Source organism: Homo sapiens, chromosome 8 (genome assembly GCF_000001405.40).
Source record: "Homo sapiens chromosome 8, GRCh38.p14 Primary Assembly".
Taxonomy (NCBI): domain Eukaryota; kingdom Metazoa; phylum Chordata; class Mammalia; order Primates; family Hominidae; genus Homo; species Homo sapiens.
The window spans coordinates 6,430,734-6,443,933 of record NC_000008.11 but is presented as its reverse complement, the minus strand read 5'-3'; the positions used below and the strand labels follow the sequence as shown (position 1 = coordinate 6,443,933).

At 39.5% G+C, this 13,200-nt stretch overlaps 1 protein-coding gene across 19 annotated transcripts in view; it reads right to left on the bottom strand.

Moving 5' to 3' along the window:
- Positions 1–13,200, bottom strand: part of MCPH1 (microcephalin 1) — a 241,882-nt gene that overhangs the window by 204,575 nt on the left and 24,107 nt on the right. For 17 of the 19 annotated variants that reach the window (NM_001322042.2, NM_024596.5, XM_017013833.3 and 14 more), the window contains exons 4-7: positions 12,348–12,435; positions 7,772–7,886; positions 4,838–4,981; positions 1,778–1,867 (exon numbers count right to left, since the gene is read on the bottom strand). In NM_001322042.2, coding sequence (NP_001308971.2) covers positions 1,778–1,867; positions 4,838–4,981; positions 7,772–7,886; positions 12,348–12,435 — 437 coding nt within the window. The remainder of the gene's footprint in view (positions 1–1,777; positions 1,868–4,837; positions 4,982–7,771; positions 7,887–12,347; positions 12,436–13,200) is intronic. The other 2 variants (NR_136159.2, NM_001172575.2) reach the window with 2 other exon arrangements.

Below are 13,200 nucleotides of genomic sequence, written 5' to 3'. Positions count from 1 at the left end.
ACTGATATTCAAAAGTGAGCCATTTGGTAGGCTTTAATGTTTCAACTCTTATATGGATTACTCATTTCCTGAGAGTAATGCTAAGCTGCTGCTACCTCCTAAATATTCTATACTCCTCTGTACCCTCTGGGCCTTCCCCTTTCCTCCACACTTTATTCTGGGTAAATACAATTCATCCTTCCAAACCCACCTGGGTTGTCAACATCCCTGGGACCCTCCCACTGCCCTTGCCAGCTCTCCCTGGCCTTGCCCCCTCTGCTACACACCATCATGCATCATACTGCCCCATGGTTACGTGGGCATCTGCCCGTCACTGTGCTATAAGCTACTGGAATGAATATGAAGAAGTCTCTAGTCCCGTGCTGGCTCCCTCAATAGGGGCTCAGCACTTGCTGGTGGAGGGCCTGTGTTTTGTAGAAATCACTCAATCTGGAGGTCACGTAAGTGTTAGAACTCTCTGTCTGAAATCACTGAAGTTCTACTTTAAAAAGGAAGAACACAGGTAACCACCAAAGCTTCCCTTCCAACTGTGCCCCAGGTGTCTTCAAGGCAGTAGTTGGAAATAAGGTCACTTTTAATTTTAGATGCTCAATATATCTTATTCAGCACCTAAAATTGTTTTATGTTTTATCACACTTTTCAAAAACCCGATAAGCAATGTGACATGTCACTAAGAGTGTAATCTGTGATGTCAGACTGCCTAAGTTAGAAGCTTGGGTTTGCCATTCACAAACCACATGACCTTGGACAAGCTGTTTGACCTCTGTGTCCTGGTTTTTCACTGGCAAAATGGGATGGTGATGGAACCTACCTCTTAAGGCTAATGGGAGAATAAATGAGATAACAGTGAATAAGACACTTAGAGGAGTGCCTACAACAACAAAAATGAAATCAATGTTAGCTATTATTATCACTTGTTTCCAACTTCTAGGAAATAAATGTAACAAGTGTAAAATAAAAAGATGGAGACTGTTTAAGAGAAATGGGTAAATAATTCCAGCACACAGAGGTGAGAGTACAAGGATTAACCCTGCGCTGAAAGGAGGCTTTGTTTGAAACTTCTAATATCTTGATGCCATCTTGCGCTTTGTCATTGCTGTGGCTTTCATGATAAATTTTCCATAACATCTCAAGCACTTTTGAACATAGTACTTTCAGGGATCACTGCTACTTACTTGAGCCCCACTGGGGACTAGGTGAAGAAACTGTAAGAAATTTGGTACGAAGAAGATATGACCATGAAAAATTACCATCCTAAGTGGAACTAGGGCTCCCACATTACAAACATGTATGTGCGTAACATGGAACTAACTGCACTAATTCCTACCAGTGTTCTTTCTGCTTCTAATTAGAAATCCTCTATTTATCTCCTCAATTGACGATCTTTACATACTTCACTGACCCCGTTCAATAACAGGTTCCTTGTGTTAATTATACATTGTGTGAAACAACATTTCCTTAGCTCTGACCTCAGTTCTATGTAGTTTAAACTGCATACAGATTAGTTCATATACGTTCACAATAATTTTTTAAATAGAGCAATGGATTCTGTAGCAAGAAAGCAAATGCCTAGGAAAAAAAACCTATAGGAACCAAAAAGGAAGTTTAACTCATGCCTTAATTTTATTATAATACCTAATTTCAGGGGGAAATTTAGAAGTTCTAGTTTTAACTAATTATTTTACTCATCAGAAGTTGCTACATGAAATTCTAAATCAGAAAATCATATTATTCTCAAAACTTAAACATATCACAGAAAGGAAAATAAAAATTTTACCTGAACACAAAGTATCACGTGAAATGTTCAAAGGTGCTTCACACAGAGAGTTACTTGGATTATCATGAGACTGCTGAATCATTTGGGAAGCTAAAAACAGGACCAAGACACTGCATTAGATAAAGTTTCAGTATTTCTTAGCAGATGAAGCCAGCAGGAAGTCCTCCTATTAATCATAGGTGATTCTATTAAATCCTATAATCACAAAGTTAGAAGGGATCTTAAAGTCAACTTGCCTGAATCTAATCAGAAGCTCAACAGAATTAAGTGAACATTTCCAGTCTGTTCTAGTCTTCTTATTTGATAATCATGGATTTTTCTTCAAGGATGCTCATCATAGTTACCTCTAAAACTAGAGCACTGCTTCCCAACCAGAGGTGACGTTGGGGTCCCAGCAGATATTTGGTAATGTCTGGACACATTTTTGGATATCGCCAGTGAGGGAGAGCAGTAGGTACACTGCTAGTGTTAGTGGGGAGAGGCAGGGATGCTGCTGAGCTTCCTACCACACACAGGGCAGTGCCCCCAACAAAGAATTACCCAGACCCAAATGTCAGCTGTGCTGGGTTGAGAAATCCTAGAGGTTTCATAGAAAACACTTAGGATGTCAATGACTTAACAAATAAGATCGTAAGTATTATCTTCAAAGGCGGTTCATACAATAGTCAAGAAACAAAAGAAATGTTTGGATCTTATATCCAAAGATATTTTTTAGAGACTCAAAAGGATACTTTTCTGAGAAAACTTCAGCAAAAAAAGAGAATAAACCAAGATAAGGAAGGGAAGCACACATAAAATTTTCAGTTAAGTTTTAAACTGTACTGGACGCAGTAAAGTAGCAGAATTAACACTGCCAAGTAATAGAAAAAGTAAAGTTTAAGGCAAATTAGTTTATACACATAATTGCACACTGAAACAATTTGGATGTCCACCTGGGACACAGCTAGTTATCTACCTCAATGTCCATTCTCACTTCTTCTTAACAACAGAACTTTGATTTTATCAGGACAGCAATGCATCCCAGTCAAGACTACATTTCAGTCTTGCTTGCAAAAGGGGTGGCCATATGACCACATTCCAGCCAATGGAATTAGACAGGAATATTGGATAGACGTCTGGTAAGGCTGTCAAAAGGAGATGGCTTAGCTGGGAGGCACACACATTTTGCAAGAAAAGCCAGGCAGGTACAACAGAAAGATGGGAACCTAGTTTCTTAAAGACACCATGGAATGGCATCCCAGCCCTGGCTGCCTACTTCTGAACTAGGCAAGACAGAGAAAGGCAATTCTATCGATTGTAACACATTGGTTTTTGTCTTTGTTATATGCAGCCGAAACTAACCTTAACTGATACATATGGACAAAGGACATAAAATTAAGCGAGGTAATAGTTGATCACATTAAAAGCTGCATTCGGTAAGTCAGTCAGTAATATGAAAAGGCACTTAAACCTGCTTCTAATCAAAAGTAACTTCAAGAACAGATCCAGTTTTTCAAGCTTCCGACTGAAAAAGGCTACAGGCTAATGCCATTCAGTTTTCCAAGTATGGAGAAAGGGGCATTCTTATAAACAACTGGTGACAATAAGATGACTCAAATTTTTTGAAGGATAATTTGACTATATCTATCAATAAGCCAGGGATCGTGGCACACACCTGTATTCCTAGCTACTTGAGAGGGTGAGGCAGAAGTACTTGAGCCCAGGAGTGCATGTCCTGCCTGCGCAACACAGGGAGACTCTATGTCTTTAAAAAATCAAATTCTGCATGTATGAATTAGTATTATTGAAATACACGAAGTACTCAGAAATACAAGGATTCACGTAGGCACATGCAGGGGTTATAACAGTAAAAAGTCGGGGTGGGAAGCTGGAAAGACTTATGTCTAGAGAAAGGAAAATGGCTTAACAAAAAAACAAGAACAACCAAACCATATGGTTAAAAAAAGAATAAAAACTGCAACACAATTTCTAATAACTGGGAAAAAAATACCCACCAATAGATTTTCAATATCAAAACTGTAGACTACTTTGAGCATCTTAAAACAAAAATAGGTCTACAACAACTAAGCTGCAAACAAACCCTCCAGGATACTCTTAAGTAAATAAAGCGGATAATAATACATATGTCATTATCTAATTTAGGTAAAACAGAAATTACACCTCCACACAGAAACCAAACCCGTATCTTTTTCATGTATACACAGATATCTGATACACTGAAACAGATCTGGAAAAACACTTAAACTTAAAATACAGGTTACCCCCAGGTAGAAGAGTACAATTAGATGGGTATCAAGATGAACTTTTACTATTAGCTACTTTGATAAATGTTTTATTAAAATGTGAATTACACTTCAGTAATTAAAAATTTTAAAGATAAAAGAAATAATGAAAAACAAACTGATTCCTTAGATACATTAATCTAAAGCAAATTCCTTCAAAAGACATGATTCACGGCCAGGAGCGGTGGCTCACGCCTGGATTACAGTCCCAGCCGTTTGGGAGGCCGAGGCGGGTGTATCACCTGAGGTTAAGAGTTTAAGACCAGCATGGCCAACATGGTGAAACCCCGTCTCTACTAAAAATACAAAAAAACAAAAAAAAATTAGCCAGGAGTGGTGACAGGCGCCTGTAATCCCAGCTACTCGGGAGGCTGAGGCAGTAGAATCACTTGAACTAGGGAGGTTGCAGTGAGCCCAGATCGCGCCACTGCACTCCAGCCTGGGTGACAAATGCAAAACTCCATCTCAGAAAAAAAAAAAAAGACATGATTCATTTTTTTTTAAAAAAAAAGAAAGAAAAAATTCCAAAGATAATAGAAATTACAAAGGAGCTACAACAAATAGGATTTTAAACTTGAAGAATACTATACACCCAACATATGCTTCAAAAATCTTAATGATGCATAAGATTTTCTGGAAAACAAAGCCAGCCATGAAATAAGTCAAAATGTGTTACTACCAGGAAACATTAAAATATCTAGGCAAAGAAAAAAGAAGCTTTCCACCATAATTGAATCGGCTATTTGCATAATTTTCATTTTACAAACTAATTACTTACAGGTGGGGGAAAGATTTTCCCTTTTCTCCTTCATCTCTTGTAATCTCTTCTCCATTGCGCTGTGGTGCCTACTATTAATTTCAATTGTGGGAGTATATATTAATGAACCATTAGATTCAAATAAGAGAATAGGTACATCATCATCTGAAAATAAACAAAAAATCCACTTTAAGACCAAAAAGTGCCTTCATACTTCAGGAATGTGATTCCTTTTAAAGAACAACCCCCCACACCCCGTTTTCCTTCTTCCCTTTCAACATCATTACCTACTCCTGCTAATATTCTACCTCCACCACCTCCACAGGCAGTGATGTTGCTGCTACAGCTGCTGGCTCACATCTGCTGAGCAACTGCCCTCACCAAGCACTGTGCTAAGAACAATATATGCATTAGTGCATCCAACCTCAAATCCAAACCCAAATCAGTATCCCCACTTGAAGACAAAGACTGAGACACAGAAGTTAAAAGTTGTAAAGCTGGAATGCAATTTAGTTTCTGTTTCTTGTCTCAGGTTTCAGAAACTGCCCCCATGAACCATCACTCCTACCCTCAAACACACTCACAGACCCAGACATGAACTTGACTGCATGAAGTGGGATCAGCATGGTCCCGGAACCATGAAGTTATGAGCTCGTTTTGTGTGGGTGCAGAGTTGTGTTTTTTTCTGGAATGCTACCTTGCATATGCTCAAAGAGCCCTTCAGAACTTTGATACTCACCCCCAACAAAAAAATACCAAGAATCATTTAATATATTCTCCTTTGGGACTCTTAAGCCTGAATCACCCTTACTGTAGTTCTGACAATATACAAATGTACATTAGTTGAATCATTAATACTTTATACATATAGTTTTTAATTACGATACATATTTGGTCTAAGAAGAAAATTTTGTATCTATCATTACCATGTTGCCAAAGTATTTTCAAATACACTGTCACTGACATAGCAAAGAAGGCCAAAGTGACAAAAGTATAAAGAATTATAGGAGAGTGTGCAATATTGCTATGAGGCTAGAAAGAGAGGCCAGATCATAAAGCACCTAGTAAATTGGAGGATATGTTAAATACAGGATTTTATCCTGAATATTTTTCCTTGGGATGACACCAGGAAATTTTAAACCAGGGAGGGGATGTCCTTCTGGTTTAAAGTTTTCACCATTGTGACTGCAGCACAGAGATGAACTGTAAGGAGACAGTGGAGGGCAGCGTAAGGAGTGGCTGCAGTGGTGCAGGAGGGATGATCCAGGCATCAGGGGAGAGAGGAGGGAAGGAGAAAACAGAAGAAGTCAAACAACTATTTCAGAAGCAGGGCCATGGTCTTGATGGGGGTTAGTGTCAGGAAGAAGGAGATGTCAAGGACGATTGCACGTTTCTGGCTTGAGCTTTGACGAAGACGAGACAGCTGGTGTGAAGGAAGGATGGACACGCACCAGGTGAGGCAGCGGGAGGGCTGAGCATGAAACAAATGATGCAGGCCATGTTTCTGGAAAATTATGTGGCAGCACTATGTGGGCTAAGTGTTCTACCCAGTTCTGTCGCATTATCGTCACAGATTTAAAATAAATCTTGGCCGGGCGCGGTGGCTCACGCCTGTAATCCCAGCACTTTGGGAGGCTGAAGCGGGCAGATCACGAGGTCAAGAGTTTGAGATCATCCTGGCCAACATGGTGAAACCCTGTTTCTACTAAAAATACAAAAATCAGCTGGGCGTGGTGGTACGCCCCTATAATCCCAGCTTCTCGGGAGGCTGAGCCAGGAGAATTGCTTGAACCCGGGAGGTGGAGGTTGTAGTGAGCCAAGATCGCACCACTGCACTCCAGCCTGGTGATGGAGAAAGACTCCATCTCAAAAAAATAAATAAAATAAATCTCGACAATTCTATTTGAATAATTTCAAAACACAGAATAGAGAATCTGTGACATAGTAACATAGATTAAAACAAAGAAAACAAAAACTAGAGGAATTAATGCTTCCTAGGAATTTCTAGTGACCATAATTGCTTATCTGTAGCAATGCTGTGTCAGAATTAGTAGGAAATACTGACTTTAGACGACAGTGAAAAAGGCAAAACAGAAATACCAAAAACGTACAAAGCATCTTAATGTTTCATAATATTCTTTTTTTTTTGAGTTGGAGTCTCACTCTGTTGCCCAGGCTGGAGTGCAGTGGTGCAGTCTCGGCTCACTGCAAGCTCTGCCTCCCAGGTTCACCCCATTCTCCTGCCTCAGCCTCCCAAGTAGCTGGGACTACAGGCGCCTGCCACCACTCCCAGCTAATTTTTTTGTATTTTTAGTAGAGACAGGGTTTCAACATGTTAGCCAGGATGGTCTCTATCTCCTGACCTCGTGATCCGCCCGCCTCTGCCTCCCAAAGTGCTGGGATTACAGGCGTGAGCCACTGTGCCCAGCCCATAATATTCTTATATATAAAAATATTATTTAACAATATATATACATAAGAATACATATATTTTTTTCTAAGACATCTTGTTATAGAACATAATATTCTAAAGTATTTTCCCAAATCACTAAAATAATGTATCATCTAAGATTTGCCTATTCAGGGTAACAAAACAAAAATGCCAATTAGGTAAAAATACAAAGTTATATATAAAGAAGAAATAAATAGGTATTTATTTCAATAATGCTTATTAGCCAAAGTTTGCTTTTCTTCTGAAATCATTCCCGAAAATAAAAAGTTCGACCACCTTGATGAATGGTTAAGACTGTGGTCGATTAGCTCAAGCTGCGTGGCTCTATTATGGCTCCCAGCCAAGTCTCCCGCAGGCTCCTGACATTTTGTTTTCTCCTTCATAGAGTAAAGCTATCATAGTCTTCATCAGCTCTCTCATGCTGAACCCCACTAGTCATCATGCAAATTAAACAAGGTGTATGGACACAAATGCAAAGAACTGTATTATATTTCTTAGCTTACCTAGATTTGTTTTTTGCCTTTGTAGCTCTTTAGCCATTTTCTCAAATTTCTTCTGAAATCTCTTATCATTTTCTGGTGTTTTAAAATTAAAATCTTTGGGCTGCATACATTTACGCTGTGCAAAAAGAACACAAAAATTAATGCTGTACTGCAACTGCTTAAGGCAGGAGAAAAAGCCCTTTCGCATACATTTCTGATACCTTTTATAACATCAGTAATAAAAAATTCTAAAAGAGGTGTTTCTTGCACTGTATGTGAACTGGCAATATTTATTTTTTTGTGCAGTTATAAAGAAAATGGACAGAATTTAAAAGACTGTATAAAAGGCTCTGTATTATGCTTTGTGAGACATTTTCATGATCCTAGCATTCTTAGTTTCCATGAAAGTTTTTAGCCAGTCTCTTTCGATTTTTTGCTGTTCTTACCACCAAACCAGCCCAATCTAGTTCAACTTTGTGTATCAAAATGGTGAACTGTTTAATTGCCACGGCCCCTGAAGTTGCAAGTTACGTCACTTGAGCATGCCCAGGTGAACCAAGCATGTAACCACGGGCAGAACCTAAGCACTTAGACCAAGGAACGGGGGCCAAATTAAGGAGTAAACACCTGATGGCATAATCCATGATCCAATCAGATTGAGCCCTGGCATCACCTTGTGACACAACCCAGTCAGATGACACCTCCCAGCATCACCCCATTGCAAGATCCAATCAGATCACACTTTGTTTTCTCTGCCTATGAAACTGCCTGAGCCCCCACCTCAGGGAGGCGGATTTGAGAGTTTCCTCCTGTCTCCTTGCCAGGCAACTTGCAATAAAGCCTTTCTTTTCTCAAAACAAGTGGCATGATCTTGGACTCTATGTGGGTTGGCAGCACGCCCACTGCCTGCTTGGTAGCACTATTCTCACGTCATCCTCCCTGCAAGACCACAACACAGTAATAAAACAATTTCTATTTTATAATTACCAAAGAAAAGAACCATGATTATGCTTGCCCTACCGTCATTAAATCACAGTAACTCCAATCAGCCAGTAAAACCCAAAAACTGTAACTACACTCACAAACACATGAAACCCCAGGCTGATATCCACAGGAAGGTCTTGGGTTAACTCTACTCTTAACCATCCTCAGACAGGGGAAATGTTTCCTTTGAAACACACCTCACGTTCCCAGCCTTACCCACCCCACTTTCTGTTCTTGGAACTGCCCATTGACTTCCCGTCTTTAGCCCAGCCATCAGCACAAATACACATACTGAACTTCACATCGATTTTACCTATAACACTTTTATGCCTGACTTCTTTCTTATAGGACCCCAGGGAAATTTAAGTCATCTGTCTAGGTTCCTTCGTTTTCAGCGCGAAGCTACCAGCCCAAATTTGCTTACATGGGTAGCTAGCTACCCACGTAAACGCTAACTTCTTTTGCTCCAGTCTCATAGAAAGAACTTCTTTTAGCTACTCAAGGCTAATGCCTATACTGGGGATCTTGCTCTGTTAGTTATTCACTCATTTATTGACAAAAAACATGACTTTATGTCAGGCGCTGGTCTTGCAACCTAGAAAGATCCTTGTCATCATGGAGCTTGTATGCTGGTAAGGAATGACAGCAAATAAACATAATAAATAAGTAAATTGTATGTGTCTTGGGAGGTTCATTTCAACAGGCTTGGAACCGGCCTGCACTGCTTTCACTAAAGTACCTGCATGACACAAAATGTACTAATTAGACAGTGGTGCTTTATAGCCACAGGTCCGGGAAGTTTGGGGACAGATTGTGCTGGCCTGTCAACATTGTTTATGAGTAGTGAGATGAAGGATTTGCCTGGAGGCTCTGCCAGTGGGGCTGGTTCATATAGACTCAGGGTCAGCAGTATACAAGAAGACACTCCATCTTGCGCTTCCTGGTTCTCAGGTACGGTGCAGGTTGGACACATTGTTATTTTGGGGTCCTGTGAATCTTCTCTAGCAACTGTATTCCATCAAACTGCCCACATTACTACAGTGTGTTAGGAGGAGCCAGTCAGCACTGCAGATGAAAAGAGACTTGCATAGTTGGCACAAGTGGGAAGGAACTGCTGGTATAAACGGGTGGCAGGATAGGTCTCACAGAGAAAGTAACATCTGCACAAAGCCATAGGGAGGCTGGAAAACGGGTCATGTGTAAGGATTTTGGGGGAAGAATGTTCCAGACAGAGGGAACAGATAACGCAATGGCTCTGAAATAGAAATACGATTGGCATGCTTGAGGAACAGCAAGCTGGGCAGGCAGGCAGCAGACAGGGTGAGGGGGGAGACAGAGGCACAGAACCATCTCAAGGACCCAAAAGAATAAGGCCTTGAGTCGGGTTTAATTTGCAATTACATTTGGAAAAGAGAAGGAAAGGGAAGGTTTTTAGACATGAAAATTAAAGTGGTAAAGTGTACAAGCAATCATTAATGCTTCAGATTAGGAAAAATTAAAAAGATTAGTAACATCCAATATTGGTCAGAGTATCACGAAATAGGTTTTTTTTTTTTTTTTTTTTTTTTTGAGACAGAGCCTTGCTGTCGCCCAGGCTGGAGTGCAGTGGCATGATCTGGGCTCACTGCAACCTCCACCTCCTGGGTTCAAGCAATTCTCCTGCCTCAGCCTCCTGAGTAGCTGGGATTACAGGTGTGCACCACCAGGTTGGGCTAATTTTTGTATTTTTAGTAGAGATGGGGTTTCGCCATGTTGGCCAGGCTGCTCTCAAACTCCTGGCCTCAACTGATTTGCCCGCCTTGGCCTTCTGAAGTGCTGGGATTACAGGTGTGAGCCACTGTATCTGGCCAAGAAATAGGTCATCTTGTATATGATTGGTGGAGCTGGTAAAATCAAAATGTGTATGTATTCTTACCCAGTAATTTTATCTCTAGATATCTGACTTGGAGAAATAAACTCAAATATGTGGCTTAAGTAATATACTTAGCAAAAACTGACAGTGACTAAAAGTACATGAATACCGGAAAAACAGTCACAATGTATAATGCAATACAGAAAACTGAGTAGAGTCAAAGCTACCGACATGAAATGGTCAAAACCATATTGTTAATTGGGGAAGAGAAGGCAACTCACCAAATGATACACATAAGATAGCAGAGCCCCTTCACGTCAAGCATGCATGTGTGAGTGTGTACATGTGTGTAATGTACTGAAGAAATGCCACCTAGGATACTCATCAAATTGAAAGCTGCTTACATTGAGGGAGGGCAATCAAAGAGATGTCTGTGTTTACTAAATGTTTTACAAAGAAAATATGTATGTACTACTGATGTGTTTTTACAATAAACACTTGATTTTAGCATGTCACAGGGAGTCCAGAGACTGCTGAACACTTGTTCACCTATAATCAGGTAAGACTGAAGAAGTTCATCTATCACTGCATGGGCAAACTATGGCTTGTCTGAGATGAAATGTAACGAAGAAATATCATTTACTATTTTCAGGAAATGTGAAATTCACAGTTATTTCTCCTCTAGTCTACAGGAAATGTAGTTCAGTTTGGAGAAAGTCATCAAATCCTCCCTCTAACAGAGAATCTCATGTGAAAACAAGCTGGCTGTGATGTTTCAGAGTAAAGTACCCTCAGATAAAGAAATCACAATTAGAACTTTTACATAAATAGAAAGCCGAAAAGGTTGTGGTTAAAATGTGAATTCTATCTCAAATGAAAGCAATGTCTTTAACTCTACAGTTTGCCCTCTGTATCTGCAAGTTCCAGATCTATGGATTCAACCAGTCGCGATTGGAAATATTCAAAAGAAAAAAAATTTAACACAAATTAAAAAAAAATACAGTGTAACAACTATTTACAAAGCATTCACATTGTATTAGGTATTTTAAATAATCCAGAGATTACTTAAAGTACATGGGAGGAGCCAGGTGCAGTGGCTCACGCCTGTAATCCCAATTGGGAGGTTGAGGCAGGAGAATCACTTGGGGCCAGGAGTTTGAGACTAGCTTGGGCAACATAGAAAGACCCTGTCTCTACAAACAATTCTTTCTTAGGTATACGGGAGGATTTGTGTAGGTTACATGCAAATACTATGGCATTTTATATAAGGGACTTGAGCATCAGTGGATTTTGTTATCTGTGGGGGTCCCGGAACTGATCCTCTGTGGATAATGAAGGACAACTGTATTTGTACAGCAGATTTTCCTAATAAATGACTTTGCACACTTGGATGTAGGTCCATCGGACTTTTGAGATTTATCTGGCTAAACAGAATGCAGGTATTTTGGCTACAGATATAACAAACTTCATTCTGAAGTAATTACCAAAGCACCTAAATGTTTGCTTGTCTCTTGGCACCTTTTAGTCTTCCCATGGCCAACCACAGGCTTTTCCATTTCATACAAATGCTATCGAAGAAGTCATAGGATAAAATAATCTCTGTAATTCACTTAAAAATGCTATGTGAAAAGAACAATATCATCAATAGCATATTTAAGACAACTCTTGAATATATTTCTAGAAGTTTTATTTTCTAGAAATAAAAAATAAAAACGAATAAATTCCTAATTGCCATTATCTACATTGAAATCATGTACTTACTTTTTTTTTAATTAGGCTTGATAAGTGTTCATTCATATTAGCTGCAGGGAACAATGATTCATCAATGTGTGCTCCAGCTGTCCTGCATCTGTATAATTAAATTAAGGTAGTCTAATGAGTATTTGCTTCTATTATACATTGACACAGCACTAAATCTGCACATGTATTAGCAATTTAAGAAATCCATAGCTAGGTCATTTTAACAGACTTTTAAAAAATAAATACAACTGCAAATACAAAAGTCAGTATAAATCAAACTTCCCAAAATCATCTCTATCTGGTATTTAAGTATAACAGAAGCAAGAGGCAGGTAAAGGAAGTACAATTTTTACACAACAATTTTTGACTTGTAGCATACTTCAAAATTATTAGTGCATGGTACTCATAAAGCTAAGGGTAAATGCTATTAAATGGATCATTTAATAGTAAACAGGCCATAAAACAGATAATTCAGAGGTAGAAGGGACGTAAAGAAATTGAAGTCAGAGGACATCTCTTTCCTCCAAAATTGGGTTGTCCTTTTTGTGTTTCTGTCCAGACACCACCATCAGCCCCAAGGCCCAGGTGTGCAACCAATGCTCCGCATTGCCAAGCCTCCTCCTCCTGCCCTGTGGACACACCTGCCATTTCTCCTGTCCACCTTCGTATCTCTGGATTCCTGTGACCCTTATCTCCTTCTTAGCATTCTGTCACTCAAGTCTAAATAATTATGATTTTCTAAATGATCTCCTGCCCTACTATTTGTTTCTCCTCTTCTAATTCACTCATACATTCCTGAAATATTAATCTTAAATTTCTTCCCAACCTAGATAAAAACCTTCTGTCACTCCCATGTTTAGAGCATATTCTCACT